The sequence below is a fragment of the Homo sapiens genome, chromosome 5 (genome assembly GCF_000001405.40).
Source record: "Homo sapiens chromosome 5, GRCh38.p14 Primary Assembly".
NCBI lineage: Eukaryota > Metazoa > Chordata > Mammalia > Primates > Hominidae > Homo > Homo sapiens.
Window position 1 is genome coordinate 76,354,021 of NC_000005.10, and position 17,068 is coordinate 76,371,088.

General features: G+C 45.8%; 1 annotated feature.

Annotated features, from left to right (window-relative positions):
* Positions 2,892-3,871: an enhancer, noted in NCBI's record as "OCT4-NANOG-H3K27ac hESC enhancer chr5:75652737-75653716 (GRCh37/hg19 assembly coordinates)". NCBI's record gives its function as "activates a minimal SCP1, AML or CMV promoter by ChIP-STARR-seq in naive and primed H9 embryonic stem cells {active_cell/tissue: H9 hESC(naive and primed)}" and the evidence as "EXISTENCE:reporter gene assay evidence [ECO:0000049][PMID:30033119]".

Here is a 17,068-nt window from a genome sequence, read left to right on the forward strand (position 1 = left end):
AGTGAATGAACCAAGTGTCTGATTACATCATCATTAATTGCTTGGCATTCTGGAGTTAGCGCTGAAAAGCTGTGCAAGGCCAGTTATTGGGGCTAAAAAGTTTGCTGGCCAGTGTGGTTGTTCATGCCTGTAATCCCAGCACTTTGGGAGGCCGAGGCGGGTGGATCATGAGGTCAGGAGTTCGAGACCAGCCTGGCCAACATAGTGAAACCCCATCTCTACTAAAAATACAAAAACTAGCTGGGTATTTAAAAAAAAAAAAAAGTTTGCTGGTCATGAGTGTTTTTGTTTTTTTGTTTGTTTGTTTGTTTTGTTTTTGAGACAGAGTCTCACTCTGTTGCCTAGGCTGGAGTGCAGTGGCTCGATCTTGGCTCACTGCAAGCTCTGCTGCCCTAGTTCAAGCGAGTCTCCTGCCTCAGCCTCCCAAGTAGCTGGGATTACAGGCTCCTGCCACCGTGCCTGGCTAATTTTTGTATTTTTAGTAGAAATGGGGTTTCACCATCTTGGCCAGGCTGGTCTTGAACTCCTGACCTTGTGATCCAACCGCCTTGGGCTCCCAAAGTGCTGGGATTACAGGCGTGAGCCACCGTGCCCAGCCAAATAGTCCTTTTAAAACACTAATGGGGCCTGGCACGGTGGCTCACACCTGTAAAACCAGCACTTTGGGAGGCCGAGGCAAGTGGATCACTTCAAGTCAGGAGTTTGAGACCAGCTGGGCCAACGTGGTGAAACCCTGTCTCTACCAAAAATACAAAAATTAGCTAGGCATGGTGGCATGTGCCTGTAATCCCAGTTACTCGGGAGGCTGAAGCAGGAGAATTGCTTGAACCCCGGAGGTGGAAGTTGTAGTGAGCCAAGATCACACCACTGCTCTCCAGTCTGAGCCAGAGTGAGACTCTGTCAAAAAAAAAAAAAAAAAAAAAGAAGAAAGAAAGAAAGAAAAGAAAGAAAGAAAGACGAAAAGAAAAGAAAAGAAAGACACTAATGGAACTTATGAATGGTCTCCTCTCAAAAATGCATACTCAGAAATCTTAGTGTATGGTTTCAAGAGGCTGAACCTGCTAACATTCCCAATGAGTCCAGAAATCTGTTTTAGAAGCATTGCTCTAGGAACTACATTGCCACCTAGAAATCACAAACAGGTGGCCTAACAAACCACACTTGTTTTAGTTTGGCTCCTGCAGGAGTGAAAGGCACAGAGATTGTTTCTTAAGTTTTGAATTAGTTGCCCAAAATTTAAACTTCAGAAGATTTCACATCGGAAAAACAATCCGTATTTCTTAATTCCGTTGAAAACTCAGAAGGCCTAGGAGCACTTGGCCCACAGTCCTAGCTACAGATAAGCTATGGCAGCCCCACCTGGAAGATGTCCTCTTCCCTTTACTCTAGTCCCCACTGCTCCTTGTGGCTTCTATGGTTTTGAAGCAGAGCCTTGGTGACCGTTTATTATTAGGTTTGCACTGTTGTTTTCCTTTTTCTTTTTCTTTTGTTTTTTTTGAGATGGAGTTTCACTCTGCCATCCAGGCTGGAGTGCAGTGGCATGATCTTGGCTCACTGCAGCCTGTGCCTCCTGAGTTCAAGCAATTCTCCTGCCTCAGCTTCCCAAGTAGCTTGGACTACCAGTACCCGCCACCACGCCTGACTAATTTTTTGTGTTTTTAATAGAGACGAGGTTTCACCACGTTGACCAGGCTGGTCTCGAACTCCTGACCTCAGGTGATCTGCCCGTCCCCGCCTCCCAAAGTGCTGGGATTACAGGCGTGAGCCACAGCACCCAGCTACTCACTGTTGTTTTCTTAAGCCTGAGTTAAGAGGAAAGCAGAATAGACTCTGCCTCCTTTTTTCTGAAGTCAGGATCATTTCATTTACGTCATATGCCTGGCCACTGCAGAGATTTGACTTTAGACCCCTTGCCTAACTCAACTATAAATGATAAGGTTAAGGAAACTAGGACCCAAAAAGATTAAGAGACTTGTCCAAGTTTACACGGAGGCTGACTTGAGCTCTGGTTTTCCTAATTGCCATATGTGTGTTTGGTCTTTGTCCCTGGTTCCTGGCACAAGGCTCCTAAAAACGCCTGACATTTCCTTGGCTGGGCACGGTGGCTCACGCCTGCAATCTCAGCACTTTGGGAAGCCAAGGCGGGTGGATCACCTGAGGTCAGGAGTTCGAGACCATCCTGACCAACGTGGAGAAACCCCGTCTCTACTAAAAATACAAAATTAGCCAGGCATGGTGGCGCACGCCTATAATCCCCATGTACTCAGGAGGCTGAGGCAGGAGAATCTCTTGAACCCAGGAGGCAGAGGTTGCAGTGGGCCGAGATCACGCCATTATACTCCAGCCTGTGCAACAAGAGTGAAACTCTGTCTCAAAAAATAAAAATAAAAATACAAAAATTGGCCAGGCACGGTGGTTCATACCTGTAATCCCAGCACTTGTGGAGGCCGAGGCGGGTAAGGATCACCTGAGGTCAGGAGTTCGAGACCAGCCTGGCCAACACGGTGAACCCTCATGTCTATTAAAAATACAAAAAATTAGCCGGGCATGGTGGCAGGCGCCTGTAATCCCAGCTACTAGGGAGGCTGAGGCAGGGAGAATTGCTTGAACCCAGGAGGTGGAGTTTGCTGTGAGCCAAGATGGCGCCATTGCACTCCAGCCTAGGCAAAAAGAACAAAACTCTTTCTGAAAAAAAAAAAAAAAAAATTTAGCTGGGCATAGTGGTGCATGCCTGTAATCCCAGCAACTCGAGGAGTTGAGGCAGAAGAATCGCTTGAACCCGGGAGGCAGAGGTTGCAGTGAGCCGAGATCACGCCACTGCACTCCAGCCTGGGCAACGGAGCAAGACTCCATCTCCCAAAAAAAAAAAAAAAAAAAAAAGTCCTGGCATTTCCTAAGAGATAGGAGTGTCTTGTTATTCGTAAGGAGCAATTTGATCACATCTGAGCTTAAGTCACTAATGAGTGACTTAGGGCAGGGCCCGCAGGTAGCCTCAGGATGGGGCTGGTCATCAAAAAGACCAAGTGATTAGAGGGTTGAAACTATTAGCCCCATTCATTGACCTCCAGGAAGGGAAGGGCAGTGCTGGAGAGTAAACTCTATTTTTTTTTAAAAAAACAACTCTTGACCGGGCGTGGTGGCTCACACCTGTAATCCCAGCACTTTGGGAGCTGAGGCAGGTGGATCACGAGGTCAGGAGTTCCAGACTAGCCTGACCAACATGGTGAAACCCCATTGTCAGGCCTCTGAGCCCAAGCCAAGCCATCACGTCCCCTGTGACTTGCACGTATACGCCCAGATGGCCTGAAGTAACTGAAGAATCACAAAAGAAGTGAATATGCCCTGCCCCACCTTAACTAATGACATTCCACCACAAAAGAAGTGTAAATGGCCGGTCCTTGCCTTAAGTGATGACATTACCTTGTGAAAGTCCTTTTCCTGGCTCATCCTGGCTCAAAAACACCCCCACTGAGCACCTTGCGACCCCCACTCCTGCCCGCCAGAGAACAAACCCCCTTTGACTATAATTTTCCTTTACCTGCCCAAATCCTATAAAACGGCCCCACCCTTATCTCCTTTCGCTGACTCTCTTTTCGGACTCAGCCCACCTGCACCCAGGTGAAATAAACAGCCATGTTGCTCACACAAAGCCTGTTTGGTGGTCTCTTCTCATGGACGCGCATGAAATTTGGTGCCGTGACTCAGATCGGGGGACCTCCCTTGGGAGATCAATCCCCTGTCCTCCTGTTCTTTGCTCCGTGAGAAAGATCCACCTACGACCTCAGGTCCTCAGACCCACCAGCCCAAGGAACATCTCACCAATTTTAAATCAGGTAAGCGGCCTCTTCTTACTCTCTTCTCCAGCCTCTCTCACTGTCCCTCAACCACTTTCTCCTTTCCACTCTTCAATCTCTCCCTTCTCTTAATTTCAATTCCTTTCATTTTCTGGGAGAGACAAAGGAGACACGTTTTATCCATGGACCCAAAACTCCGGCGCCGGTCACAGACTGGGAAGACAGCCTTCCCTTGGTGTTTAATCATTGCAGGGACGCCTGATTATTCACCCACGTTTCAAAGGTGTCAGACCACGCAGGTATGCCTGCCTTGGTCCTTCACCCTTAGCGGCAAGTCTCGCTTTTCTGGGAAAGGGGCAAGTACCCCAACCCCTTCTCTCCTTTTCTTTACCCCTTCTCTGCTTTTCTGAGTGAGGGGCAAGTACCCCTCAACCCCTTCTCCTTCACCCTTAGCGGCAAGTCCCGCTTTTCTACGGGGCAAGAACCCCCAATCCCTTATTTCCGCGCCCCAACCTCTTGTATCTCTGCGCCCCAATCCCTTATTTCCACGCCTCGACCTCTTATCCCTGTGCCCCAATCCCTTATTTCCGTGCCCCAACCTATCTCTGCGCCCCAATCCTTTATTTCCGCACCCCAACCTCTTATATCTCTGCACCCCAATCCCTTATTTCCGTGCCCCGACCTCTTATCTCTGCGCCCCAACCCCTTTTCCCACTTTTCTGGAAGGTAAGAACCCCCGAACTCCTTCCCTCCGTTTCTCTACTCTTTTCTCTCGGCTTGCTTCCTTCACTATGGGCAACCTTCCACCCTCCATTCCTCCTTCTACTCCCTTGGCCTGTGTTCTCAAAAACTTAAAACCTCTTCAACTCACATCTGACCTAAAACCTAAATACCTTATTTTCTTCTGCAATGCCACTTGACCCCAATACAAACTCGACAGTAGTTCCAAATAGCCAGAAAATGGCACTTTGAATTTTTCCATCCTGCAAAATCTAAGTAATTCTTGTAAAACAGGCAAACGGTCTTAGGTGCCTGACGTCCAGGCATTCTTTTACACATCAGTCCCTTCCTAGTCTCTGTGCCCAGTGCAACTCGTCCCAAATCTTCCTTCTTTCCCTCCCACCTGTCCCCTCAGTACCAACCCCAAGCATCGCTGAGTCTTTCTAATCTTCCTTTTCTACAGACTCATCTGATGTCTCCCTTCCTCCCCAGGCCGCTCCTCGCCAGGCCAAGCTAGGTCCCAATTCTTCCTCAGCCTCCGCTCCTTCACCCTATAATCTTTTTATCGCCTCCCCTCCTCACACCTGGTCCGGCTTACAGTTTCGTTCCGTGACTAGCCCTCCCCCACCTGCCCAGCAATTTACTCTTAAAAAGGTGGCTGGAGCTAAAGGCATAGTCAAGGTTAATGCTCCTTTTTCTTTATCACAAATCAGATAGCGTTTAGGCTCTTTTTCATCAAATATAAAAACCCAGCCCAGTTCATGACTCGTTTGGCAGCAACCCTGAGACGCTTTACAGCCCTAGACCCTAAAAGGTCAAAAGGCCGTCTTATTCTCAATATACATTTTATTACCCAATCTGCTCCCGACATTAAATAAAACTCCAAAAATTAGAATCTGGCCCTCAAACCCCACAACAGGACTTAATTAACCTCACCTTCAAGGTGTACAATAATAAAAAAAAAAGTTGCAATTCCTTACCTCCACTGTGAGACAAACCCCAGCCACATCTCCAGCACACAAGAACTTCCAAACGCCTGAATCGCAGCGGCCAGGCATTCCTCCAGAACCTCCTCCCCCAGGAGCTTGCTACACGTGCCGGAAATCTGGCCACCAAGCCAAGGAATGCCCGCAGCCCGGGATTCCTCCTAAGCCGTGACCCATCTGTGCGGGACCCCACTGAAAATCGGACTGTTCAACTCACCTGGCAGCCACTCCCAGAGCCCCTGGAACTCTGGCCCAAGGTTCTCTGACTGACTCCTTCCCAGATCTTCTCGGCTTATCGGCTGAAGACTGACACTGCCCGATCGCCTCGGAAGCCCCGTAGACCATCACGGACGCCGAGCTTCAGGTAAGTCTCACAGTGGAAGGTAAGCCCGTCCCCTTCTTAATCAATATGGAGGCTACCCACTCCACATTACCTTCTTTTCAAGGGCCTGTTTCCCTTGCCTCCATAACTGTTGTGGGTATTGACGGCCAGGCTTCTAAACCTCTTAAAACTCCCCAACTCTGGTGCCAACTTAGAAAATACTCTTTTAAGCACTCCTTTTTAGTTATCCCCACCTGCCCAGTTCCCTTATTAGGCTGAGACACTTTAACTAAATTATCTGCTTCCCTGACTATTCCTGGACTACAGCTATATCTCATTGCCGCCCTTCTTCCCAATCCAAAGCCTCCTTTGCGTCCTCCTCTTGTATCCCCCCACCTTAACCCACAAGTATAAGATACCTCTACTCCCTCCTTGGCAACCGATCATGCACCCCTTACCATCTCATTAAAACCTAATCACCCTTACCCCACTCAACACCGATATCCCATCCCGCAGCACGCTTTAAAAAGATTAAAGACTGTTATCACTCGCCTGCTACAGCATGGCCTTTTAAAGCCTATAAACTCTCCTTACAATTCCCCCATTTTACCTGTCCTAAAACCAGACAAGCCTTACAAGTTAGTTCAGGATCTGCGCCTTATCAACCAAATTGTTTTGCCTATCCACCCCGTGGTGCCAAACCCATATACTCTCCTATCCTCAATACCTGCCTCTACAACCCATTATTCTGTTCTGGATCTCAAACATGCTTTCTTTACTATTCCTTTGCACCCTTAATCCCAGCCTCTCTTCGCTTTCACTTGGACTGACCCTGACACCCATCAAGCTCAGCAAATTACCTAGGCTGTACTGCCGCAAAGCTTCACAGACAGCCCCCATTACTTCAATCAAGCCCAAATTTCTTCCTCATCTGTTACCTATCTCGGCATAATTCTCATAAAAACACACGTGCTCTCTCTGCCAATCGTGTCCCACTGATCTCTCAAACCCCAGCACCTTCTACAAAACAACTCCTTTCCTTCCTAGGCATGGTTAGTGTGGTCAGAATTCTTACACAAGAGCCAGGACCACACCCTGTAGCCTTTCTGTCCAAACAACTTGACCTTACTGTTTTAGCCTAGCCCTCATGTCTGCGTGTAGCGGCTGCCACTGCATTAATACTTTCAGAGGCCCTCAAAATCACAATCTATGCTCAACTCACTCTCTACAGTTCTCATAACTTCCAAAATCTATTTTCTTCCTCATACCTGACGCATATACTTTCTGCTCCCCGGCTCCTTCAGCTGTACTCACAATTACCATTGTTCCTGGCCCGGACTTCAATCTGGCCTCCCACATTATTCCTGATACCACACCTGACCCCCATGACTGTATCTCTCTGATCCACCTGATATTCACCCCATTTCCCCATATTTCCTTCTTTCCTGTTCCTCACCCTGATCACGCTTGATTTATTGATGGTCCACCAGGCCTAATCGCCACACACCAGCAAAGGCAGGTTATACTATAGTACAAGCCACTAGCCCGCCTCTTAGAACCTCTCATTTCCTTTCCATCGTGGAAATCTATCCTCAAGGAAATAACTTCTCAGTGTTCCATCTGCTATTCTACTACTCCTCAGGGATTATTCAGGTCCCCTCCCTTCCCTACCCATCAAGCTCGAGGATTTGCCCCATCCAGGACTGGCAAATTAGCTTTACTCAACATGCCCTGAGTCAGATAACTAAAATACCTCTTAGTCTAGGTAGATACTTTCACTGGATAGGTAGAGGCCTTTCCTACAGGGTCTGAGAAGGCCACCACAGTCATTTCTTCTGTTCTGTCGGACATAATTCCTCAGTTTAGCCTTCCCACCTCAATACAGTCTGAAAACAGATGAGCCTTTATTAGTCAAATCAGCTAAGCAGTTTTTCAGGCTCTTAGTATTCAGTGAAACCTTTATATCCCTTACGGTCCTCCATCTTCAAGAAAAGTAGAATGGACTAAAGGTCTTTTAAAAACACACCTCACCAAGCTCAGCCACCAAAAAGGACCGGACAATACTGTTACCACTTTCCCTTCTCAGAATTCAGGCCTGTCCTCGGAATGCTACAGGGTACAGCCCATTTGAGCTCCTGTGTAGACGCTCGTTTTTATTAGGCCCCAGTCTCATTCCAGACACCAGACCAACTTAGACTGTGCCCCCGAAAACTTGTCATCCCTACTATCTTCTGTCTAGTCATACTCCTATTCACCGTTCTCAACTACTCATACATGCCCTGCTCTTGTTTACACTGCCGGTTTACACTGTTTTTCCAAGCCATCACAGCTGATATCTCCTGGTGCTATCCCCAAACTGCCACTCTTAACTCTTGAAGTAAATAAATAATCTTTGCTGGCAGGACTATGCTGAATCTCCTTAGGCACTCTCTAATCAGATATCCTGAGTCGTCCCAATTCTTAGACCTTTTATACCTGTTTTTCTCCTTCTGTTATTCCATTTAGTTTCTCAATTCATCCAAAACCATATCCAGGCCATCACCAATCATTCTATATGACAAATGTTTCTTCTAACATCCCCACAAAATCACCCCTTACCATAAGACCTCCCTTCAGCTTAATCTCTCCCACTCTAGGTTCCCACACTGCCCCTAACCCCGCTTGAAGCAGCCCTGAGAAACATCGCCCATTCTCTCTCCATATCACCCCCCAAAAATTTTCGCCACCCCAACACTTCAACACTATTTTGTTTTATTTTTCTTATTAATATAAGAAGGCAGGAATGTCAGGCCTCTGAGCCCAAGCCAAGCCATCACGTCCCCTGTGACTTGCACGTATACGCCCAGATGGCCTGAAGTAACTGAAGAATCACAAAAGAAGTGAATATGCCCTGTCCCGCCTTAACTGATGACATTCCACCACAAAAGTGTAAATGGCCGGTCCTTGCCTTACGTGATGACATTACCTTGTGAAAGTCCTTTTCCTGGCTCATCCTGGCTCAAAAAACACCCCCACTGAGCACCTTGCGACCCCCACTCCTGCCTGCCAGAGAACAAACCCCCTTTGACTATAATTTTCCTTTACCTGCCCAAATCCTATAAAACGGCCCCACCCTTATCTCCCTTCGCTGACTCTTTTTGGACTCAGCCCGCCTGCACCCAGGTGAAATAAACAGCCATGTTGCTCACACAAAGCCTGTTTGGTGGTCTCTTCACACGGACGCTCATGAAACCCATCTCTACTAAAAATACAAAAAATTAGTGGGGCGTGGTGGCGCTCGCCTGTAATCCCAGCTACTCAGGAGGCTGAGGCAGGAGAATTGCTTGAACCCGGGAGGTGGCGGTTGCAGTGAGCCAAGATAGTGCCACTGCACTCCAGCCTGGGCAACAGAGTAAGACTCCGTCTCAAGGAGAAAAACAAACAACTCTTGAGCAATGAGAGTTGATGCTCTTCTGGGTTGGTGAATACATTGAGGTGCTAGGAGGGTGGTGTGTCTGGAGAGGGCTTTCCCTGATCCCCATACCTCGCCCTATGCATCTCTTCCATTTGACTTCCTGAGTTGCAGCCTTTATAACAAACTGATCAACATAAATAAGGTATCCCTGAGTTCTGTGAGCCATTATTTCAAATTATCGAATCGGGTGGGGGGTGGCGGGGGGCGGTTACAGTAGCTCTTGATTTGTAGCAAGGACAGCCAGAAGTGCCGGAACCTGAGACTTGTAACTGATGTGAAGTGGGAGGAGCCTTGTGGGACTGAGTCCTTAACCTGTGGTGTCTATGCTAGTAATAGCTTTGGGCAGCAAGAAATAAAAATAAAATCCTAAACTGCCCAACGGACTAAACAGACCCTCTCTTGGTTAAAGAGACCCCATAGTAACCTTGAAAATTGAGTTCTGTGTCATGGTGGGATAGGAGGTTGGACACACCTTATTATGCCCTCTCCCTAGCTAAGCATGATAAGGCTTTCTTTCCTAAGGGCTTAACAGAAACCAGCCCTTTCAAAAGGCTCTCGTATCAACCAACCATGTGAGGCTGCCCCCCCATGATAAGAGGCCACTGACCACGGAGCGGTTCTGGCCAGTCTACAAAGAATGTGCAGTAGGGGTTTCTGTGCTCTCTGCTTCATCTTTTGGGGTCAGAGGGCTGAAAACTCTACCCTCAGATCATGCTATCACCACCGTTTTTGTACACGGGACACACGAAGGGGCATGAAGCTCATGTTTCTCCTTTCATAAATATTCACAACTCCTGCTACAGCTTATTGAATATGCATATTCGGCCAGCCCGCTCGGTATAAATTCATGTGCCCTTTGCCACTCCCTTGACGCATCTGTTTCTGGCTTCTGGCCAGCACCTACACTTCCCAGCCTGTCACTCTGCAGGCTGCAACGCTTTATGAGAAAGAAAACTCTCCTTTCCACATGTATAGGCCTTGTCATTCTCAGTTGACAGTAGTTATTGTCAGAATTGAATTGAATTTTAGGATATTCATTTAATGTTCACAGAGAATTGGTGGTTGGTCTTGGAAAACACCCCAGACTAACTCAATGTTCTTTCCATTACACTGCCTTCACAGCTGAATAAAAAGCCAAGAAACTTATAGTGTCACTAGAAACCACGGACAACTGCAAATCAATAAAAATTGATTTCAAAAGAATCAAGCTGCCAGGTTGGTGTGCCTCTAATTTCAGCACTTTGGGAAGTTGAGGCAGGAGGATTGTTGGAGCCCAGGAGTTCAACACCAGCCTGGGCAACATAGTGAGACCTCATCTCTATTAAAAAAGAAAAAAAAGTAATAATTGAAAATAAAAGAATCAAACTGTTGTTTATTTTTTTTTGAGACAGGGTCTTGCTCTGTCATCCAGGCTGGAGTGCAGTGGTGTGATCTCGGCTCACTGCAACCTCTGCCTCCCAGGTTCAAGCGATTCTTGTGCCTCAGCCTCCTGAGTAGCTGGGACTACAGGCACCCGCCGCCATGCCTGGCTAATTTTTGTATTTTTAGTACAGACGGGGTTTCGCCATGTTGGCCAGGCTGGTTTTGAACTCCTGACCTCAGGTGATTCACCCCCCTGGGCCTCCCAAAGTGCTGGGATTATAGGCGTGAGCCACCACGCCTGGCCAAGAATCAAGCCTTTTTAGGTCATCTCTGTACACCCATCAAGTACTCAGAGATACCCAATCAATGCTTGACCTAGTGAATGGGCAAATAAAATGAATGAATCCATTTTCAAATTATAGTTTAATCTGGGGAAAAGTAAGATTCATTTAAAAGCCCCTTTTCACTAACAACTTAAGGTGTAATTTTATTTCTGACCAATTGTCTTATTTTTAATGGAATCAAATCTATCATATAAAATACATAGCTCTAGCTTACCCCCAAGGTTGATGTACAGCAAATTCAGTAATTTTCTTAACCTAATGTGATCATTTGGTTTAAAAACACTGAAGGCTCCTTTAAATATCCAGAGTTCAAGTTTCAAGTCATCAAAACTCATGATTTGTCCTGATTCCAAGATAAAAGAAACAGGTGACCTGAGCTGCTGGTGCTAGGAACCACTGCTGCAGAGAAGGCAAAGTTTCTTCTGTCTGACCATCGACAGCAGCCAGTCAGACCTGAGCCCCTACTCTGTTCTGAAAATCCATTCCTCTCTGTCTCCTGCTAAGCATTGCTTCTCTTTGGGAAATTATTCTCCACTCTGACCAATGGCAATGTTATGCCCTAGAGTAATAAATGAGAGTCACTTGACCTTTTTGGGAAAGTCATTATCATTATTATAGTTTAATTTTAAAAAGCATTTCCTCCTGAATATTTATATCATCCAACCCCTGAGGACACTAACTGCCATTGCTAGTGGCCCCTGTATCTGTTTTCTTCTTTTTTAGTAATAGACTTCCTATTTCTAGCCACATAGCCACAGACAGAAGTAGCCATGTGCCTAAGTTCTAGCAAAGGGGATGTAAATAGAAGTGTCATGTATAACTTCCAGAAAGGTCAGGCTGCCTGGAATGTGGACATGATAGCTGAATATCAAACAATCATTTTAGTCAATGAGGCTGAAAGCCACTTTTGGTTAGTTGGCAGTAATTGTGTTTGATTAAAAATTTTTGCATAAAACAAGTTTTCACTATTCCCACTGAGACACTCTCACGTCTGCACCCTGGATGGGTATGTGAAAATAATGTTCCTCTTTCTTTTTGCTCATATAAATAAATGCTTTTTAAAATTTCTTACAGCAATTTTATTTTCTGTGTCCCTACAGAAAACCTCATTCACCTCTGGATCCAGTTCCATAAAGTGGTGTTTGGGACCTATAGCCTTCCTCATTGCCGAGAGGGGGAAATCAGTGTCATGGCTGTCTGGAAATGTGGCCTTGATGTTTTGAATGAATAATGGCTCTAATAACATTCAGTACCAGGTGGAGGGAGAAAGGATATTAGTATCCCTCCCTCCCTCCCTCCCCCTTCCTTCCTTCCTTCCTTCCTTGCTTCCCTCTTTCCCTCCCTTCCTCTCTTTCTTTTATTTTCTTTTCTCTTTTCTTTTCTTTCTTAAGACAGGGTCTTACTCTGTTACCCAGGCTGGAGAACAGTGGTGCAATCATAGCTCACTGTAACCTCAAACCCCTGAGCTCAAGCGATCCTCCTGCCTCAGCGTCCTGAGTAGCTAGAACTACAGGCATGCACCACCACGCCCAGCTAGTAGTAATTTTAATATGTGACTAAAATATACATTTTTCATTCCCTTTAAAACAAAAGCCACCACCCTACTAAAATGATTTTTGAAGCTGGACAATGGTAGAGGGTTTTGTTTGTATGTTGGTTTTTTGATTTTTGTTTTAACATGCTCTAGGGGTGATGGAGAACCACTGTTTCTATATCTTGAGCTTTAAATTCCCACATCCACTTCATCTCTTGTGCTTACTGTGAACATATTAACCACACCCAGATCTAATCCAGGGATTTTCATTTGCTAATTCCAAGAGGGAAGGGTAGACCATGGTTAGACGCATCCAGTCACCACTAGGTAATGTTCACAGCACATTCTGAAGAGTTAACTAAAATACATCACTTTTCATTTTAAAGTGAATGGTTTTGAGGTATATTTCAACCCTATTTCTGGGTTACCCAACCGGTCACCACTAGGTAATGTTCACACCACATTCTACAGAGTTAACTAAAATACATTGCTTTTCATTTTAAAGTGAATGGTTTTGAGGTAAATTTCAACCGTATTTCTGAATTACCCATTTCAATTATATTTATGAATTATTAAAGCTAATAGAACTTCATAATATAACAAATGTAGATAATTAAAACATGTTTATACAAAAACAAAATATGTTAGCAGACTTCCAGTTTCTTTGTGAGGCTACTGAATCTAAATGAAAATGTCTTCTTTCTTACTTGATTGTTCATAATTGCCTTCTGTAAGAGTTAGGATACAAAGTTCCTAAAACAAAGCAATTTGTCAAGCAATTCTGCAGTTTTCAGTGAAGATGTAAATAAGGTAGAACCCCTTGAGAGCAGTGTGTGTGCGTGTGTGTGTGTGTGTGTGTGTATTTTTGTAGAGATGGGGTCTTGTTATGTTGCCCAGGCTAGTCTCAAACTCCTGGCTTTAAGTGATCCTCCTGCCTTGACCCAAAGTGCTGGGATTACAGGCTTTAGCCACCACACCTGGCCCATAAATATATATTTAAATGAACGAAGGAGGCAACACAATGTAGCAAAAATAATCTGGAAGATGGGAGAAAGACCTGGGTTTGGGTCTTGATTCTGTCTTCTACTGGCTGTCAAATGAGGTCAATTGCATCTCTTAGGATAGTTATAAGGACAATTGATATCTTGCCTGCGCATAGTGGGTACTCAGCAAGATTAATTTCCTTTCTCCCTCCACTTGGTACTGAATGTTATCAGAGGGTACAGAGCCATTATTCATGAAAACATCAAGGCCCCATCTCCAGATGGCCCTAACACTGACTTGCCCCGGTCAGCAATGAAGAACGCTGATAGGACCCAAACACCACTTTATGAAGCATGATCCAGAGGTGAATGAGGATTTCCGTAGGGACATGTGTGGAAATAGGAAGATAAGACCCTCAACCCCACAGCCAGGTCTTAGGGGAATCCAGGGACAGCCAGGTCTCATGGCAATGGAACTGTGCTTTAGGGACCTGAAGACCTTCAGTCACAGGTTTTGGGGATTTCCTACTTAAGGGTTTCACCATTACATTGTCTTGGTGACTCAGCCTCTGTTTCTCCTGTTACTGCTGCTGTTGACTAACTGGCTTTGATGCTTTGTATTCAAATGCTCCAAGAGAGACATTCTTAATTGGTTTGTAGTCTAAGCTGCCTCTGTTTCACAAAGCTTTTGTAGCAAGCTGTTTTCGCAAGTCACTGACCAGCCTACAGATTGGCTTTTTCTGGGTCAGGTGTCTTCTCTGTACCAATGAGCTTAGCCAGTGTGACAGTCTGCATGGCCAACTTTTCTCTGGATGCACCATGAACATGGAAGACATTCAGACCACGGTAGGTGGTTTGTCTATCTGTTTCTAAACTGGTAAAAACATTTGTCATGTAGAGTTGGAGGAGAGAAGGTCATTTGTCTATCAAATGCCAAATTTTGGAGGATGTGAAGAGCAAAGACTCTTCTATTTCCCCTCAAATTGTATTTGATGTCTCTCACTGATTCCACCTCACTCTCTACAGTTCAGCCATTCAGGACTTCTATTTTGTTTTCTTTTTTTTTTTTTTTTTTTTTTTTTTTTTGAGACAGAGTCTTGCTCCATTCCCAGGCTGGAGTGCAGTGGCGTGATCTCGGCTCACTGCAACCTCCACCTCCCAGGTTCAAGCGATTCTCCTGCCTCAGCCTCCTGAGTGACTGTGATTACAGGCATCCACCACCACACCTGGCTAATTTTTGCATTTTTAGTAGAGACGGGGTTTCACCATGTTGGTCAGGATGGTCTCGAACTCCTGACCTTGTGATCCGCCCACCTCAGCCTCCCAAAGTGTTGGGATTATAGGCATGAGCCACCACGCCCAGCCAGGACTTCTATTTTCTTCAAACATCTCTCTTGCTCTTGCTCTCTCTATTTCTCTTTTAGACCCACAGACCTGTGGTGTTTTCTGTCTGGAATACCCCCTCTACATCCTCTAGGCCTAGCTGAAATGTCTGCTCCTCAAGGAAGTTTTCTCAGACTCCCACACTGCATCCAGCTTCCTCTGTTATAAGCCCCTTGCTATTACACCTTGTACTTCCTCTTTCAAAATATTCCTCCTGTTTATAATTGTTTGTTTAATATCCGTCTTTCCTGTTGACTGAGGCTCAATAAAAGCAGGAATTTCTCTCTTGTCATTGCTGTTTCCTCAATATCTGGTCTAGCTCCTGACACTTAATGAAACTTAATAAACATTTATGGAATGAGTGAGCTTTTGTTATCATGCTATCTGGGCATAATATTTTTTATTTGAGAAGAATGAATGACCCCCAACAATCTCAATGTTGGGCAGAACCAAAGTAAGATGTTTTGGAATTGCACTAGTGGTAGGAAAAACAAAATGTTTTCCTCTGCTGTCACGCCACACAACAATAAACACAGAAAACTTCTGTGATGAAATGTGGGGGAGTGGCTGGGCGCGGTGTCTCATGCCTGTAATCCCAGCACTCTGGGAGGCTTAGGTGGGTGGATCACCTGAGGTCAGGAATTCAAGACCAGCCTGGCCATGGTGAAACCCCGTCTCTACTAAAAATACAAAAAATTAGCCAGGCATGGTGGTGCGCACCTATAATCCCAGCTACTCAGGAGGCTGAGGCAGGAGAATCGCTTGAACCCGAGAGGCGGAGGTTGCAGTGAGCCAAGATCGCACCATTGCACTCCAGCCTGGGCAACAAGAGCGAAACTCTATCTCAAAAAAAAAAAAAAAAAAAAGAAAGAAAGAAAGAAAGAAATGCGGGGGATTCTCCCCACCACAAGCAAGCAATCGATACCGCAGCAGACACCAGCTGGGTGCCCTCCAATTCAATTCTGACACTGTCTACCTGGAGATAGCATCAGATCCCACAGACCAAGGGCTCAGTGCCAAAAATTCAACTCCCTCTTCAGACACAAGTGACAAGTCCAGGCATCCAGAACCTCTGACTGACCAGCTTCAAGTTGGGATTCCAACAAACCAGTCTTTGGATGCGATTTATTTGCTAGAGTAGCTCACAGAACTCAAGGAAACAATTACTTATATTTACTAGATTATTCCTAAGGATATTTTAATAGATACAAATAAACAACTAGATGAAGAGAAACATAGGGTAAGGTCTGAGTGCAGGCACTTCTGTCCTCATGGTATTGGGATGGGCCACTCTCCTGGCCCTTGCATGAGTTCTTCTTAACCGTTCACCCTCCCGGAAACCTCCACATGTTTGGCTACCCAGAAGGTTTTTGTTTTGTTTTGTTTTGTTTTGCTTTGTTTTGTTTTGTTCTGAGACGGAGTTTCGCTCTTATTTCCCAGGCTAAAGTGCAATAGCACGATCTCGGCTCACTGCAACCTCCGCCTCCCAAGTTCAAGCAATTCCTCCTGCCTCAGCCTCCTGACTAGCTGGGATTATAGGCACTTGCCAACATGCCCAGCTAATTTTGTATTTTTAGTAGAGACAGGGTTTTTCCATGTTGGTCAGGCTGGTCTCGAACTCCCAGCCTCAGGTGATCCTCCCACCTCAGCCTCCCAAAGTGCTGGGATTAAAGGAGTGAGCCACTACACTTGGCCTTTTTTTTTTTTCTTTTTTCTTTTGAGACAGTCTGGCTCTGTCACCCAGGCTGGAGTGCAGTGGCATGATCTTGGCCCTCTGCAACCTGCGCCTCCTGGGTTCAAGAGATTCTCGTGCCTCAGCCTCCCAAGTAGCTGGGATTACAGGTGTATGCTACCATACCTGGCTAACTTTTGTATTTTTATTAGAGAAGAGGTTTCACCATGTTGGCCAGGCTGGTCTCAAACTCCTGACCTCAGGTGATCTGCCCTCCTTGGCCTCCCAAAGTGCTAGGATTACAGATGTGAGCCACTATGCCCAGCCTTATCCAGAAGTTCTTGAACCCTGTCTTCTGGGCCAAGTTCTTGAACCCTGTCTTCTGGGCCATTTATGGAGACTTCATTGGATAGGCATGATTGAAGTATGGATAACCTGGTTCAAATGTGATTGGACAAAAAGGGTATGATCTGGTCGGGCGCAGTGGCTCACGCCTGTAATCCCAGCACTTTGA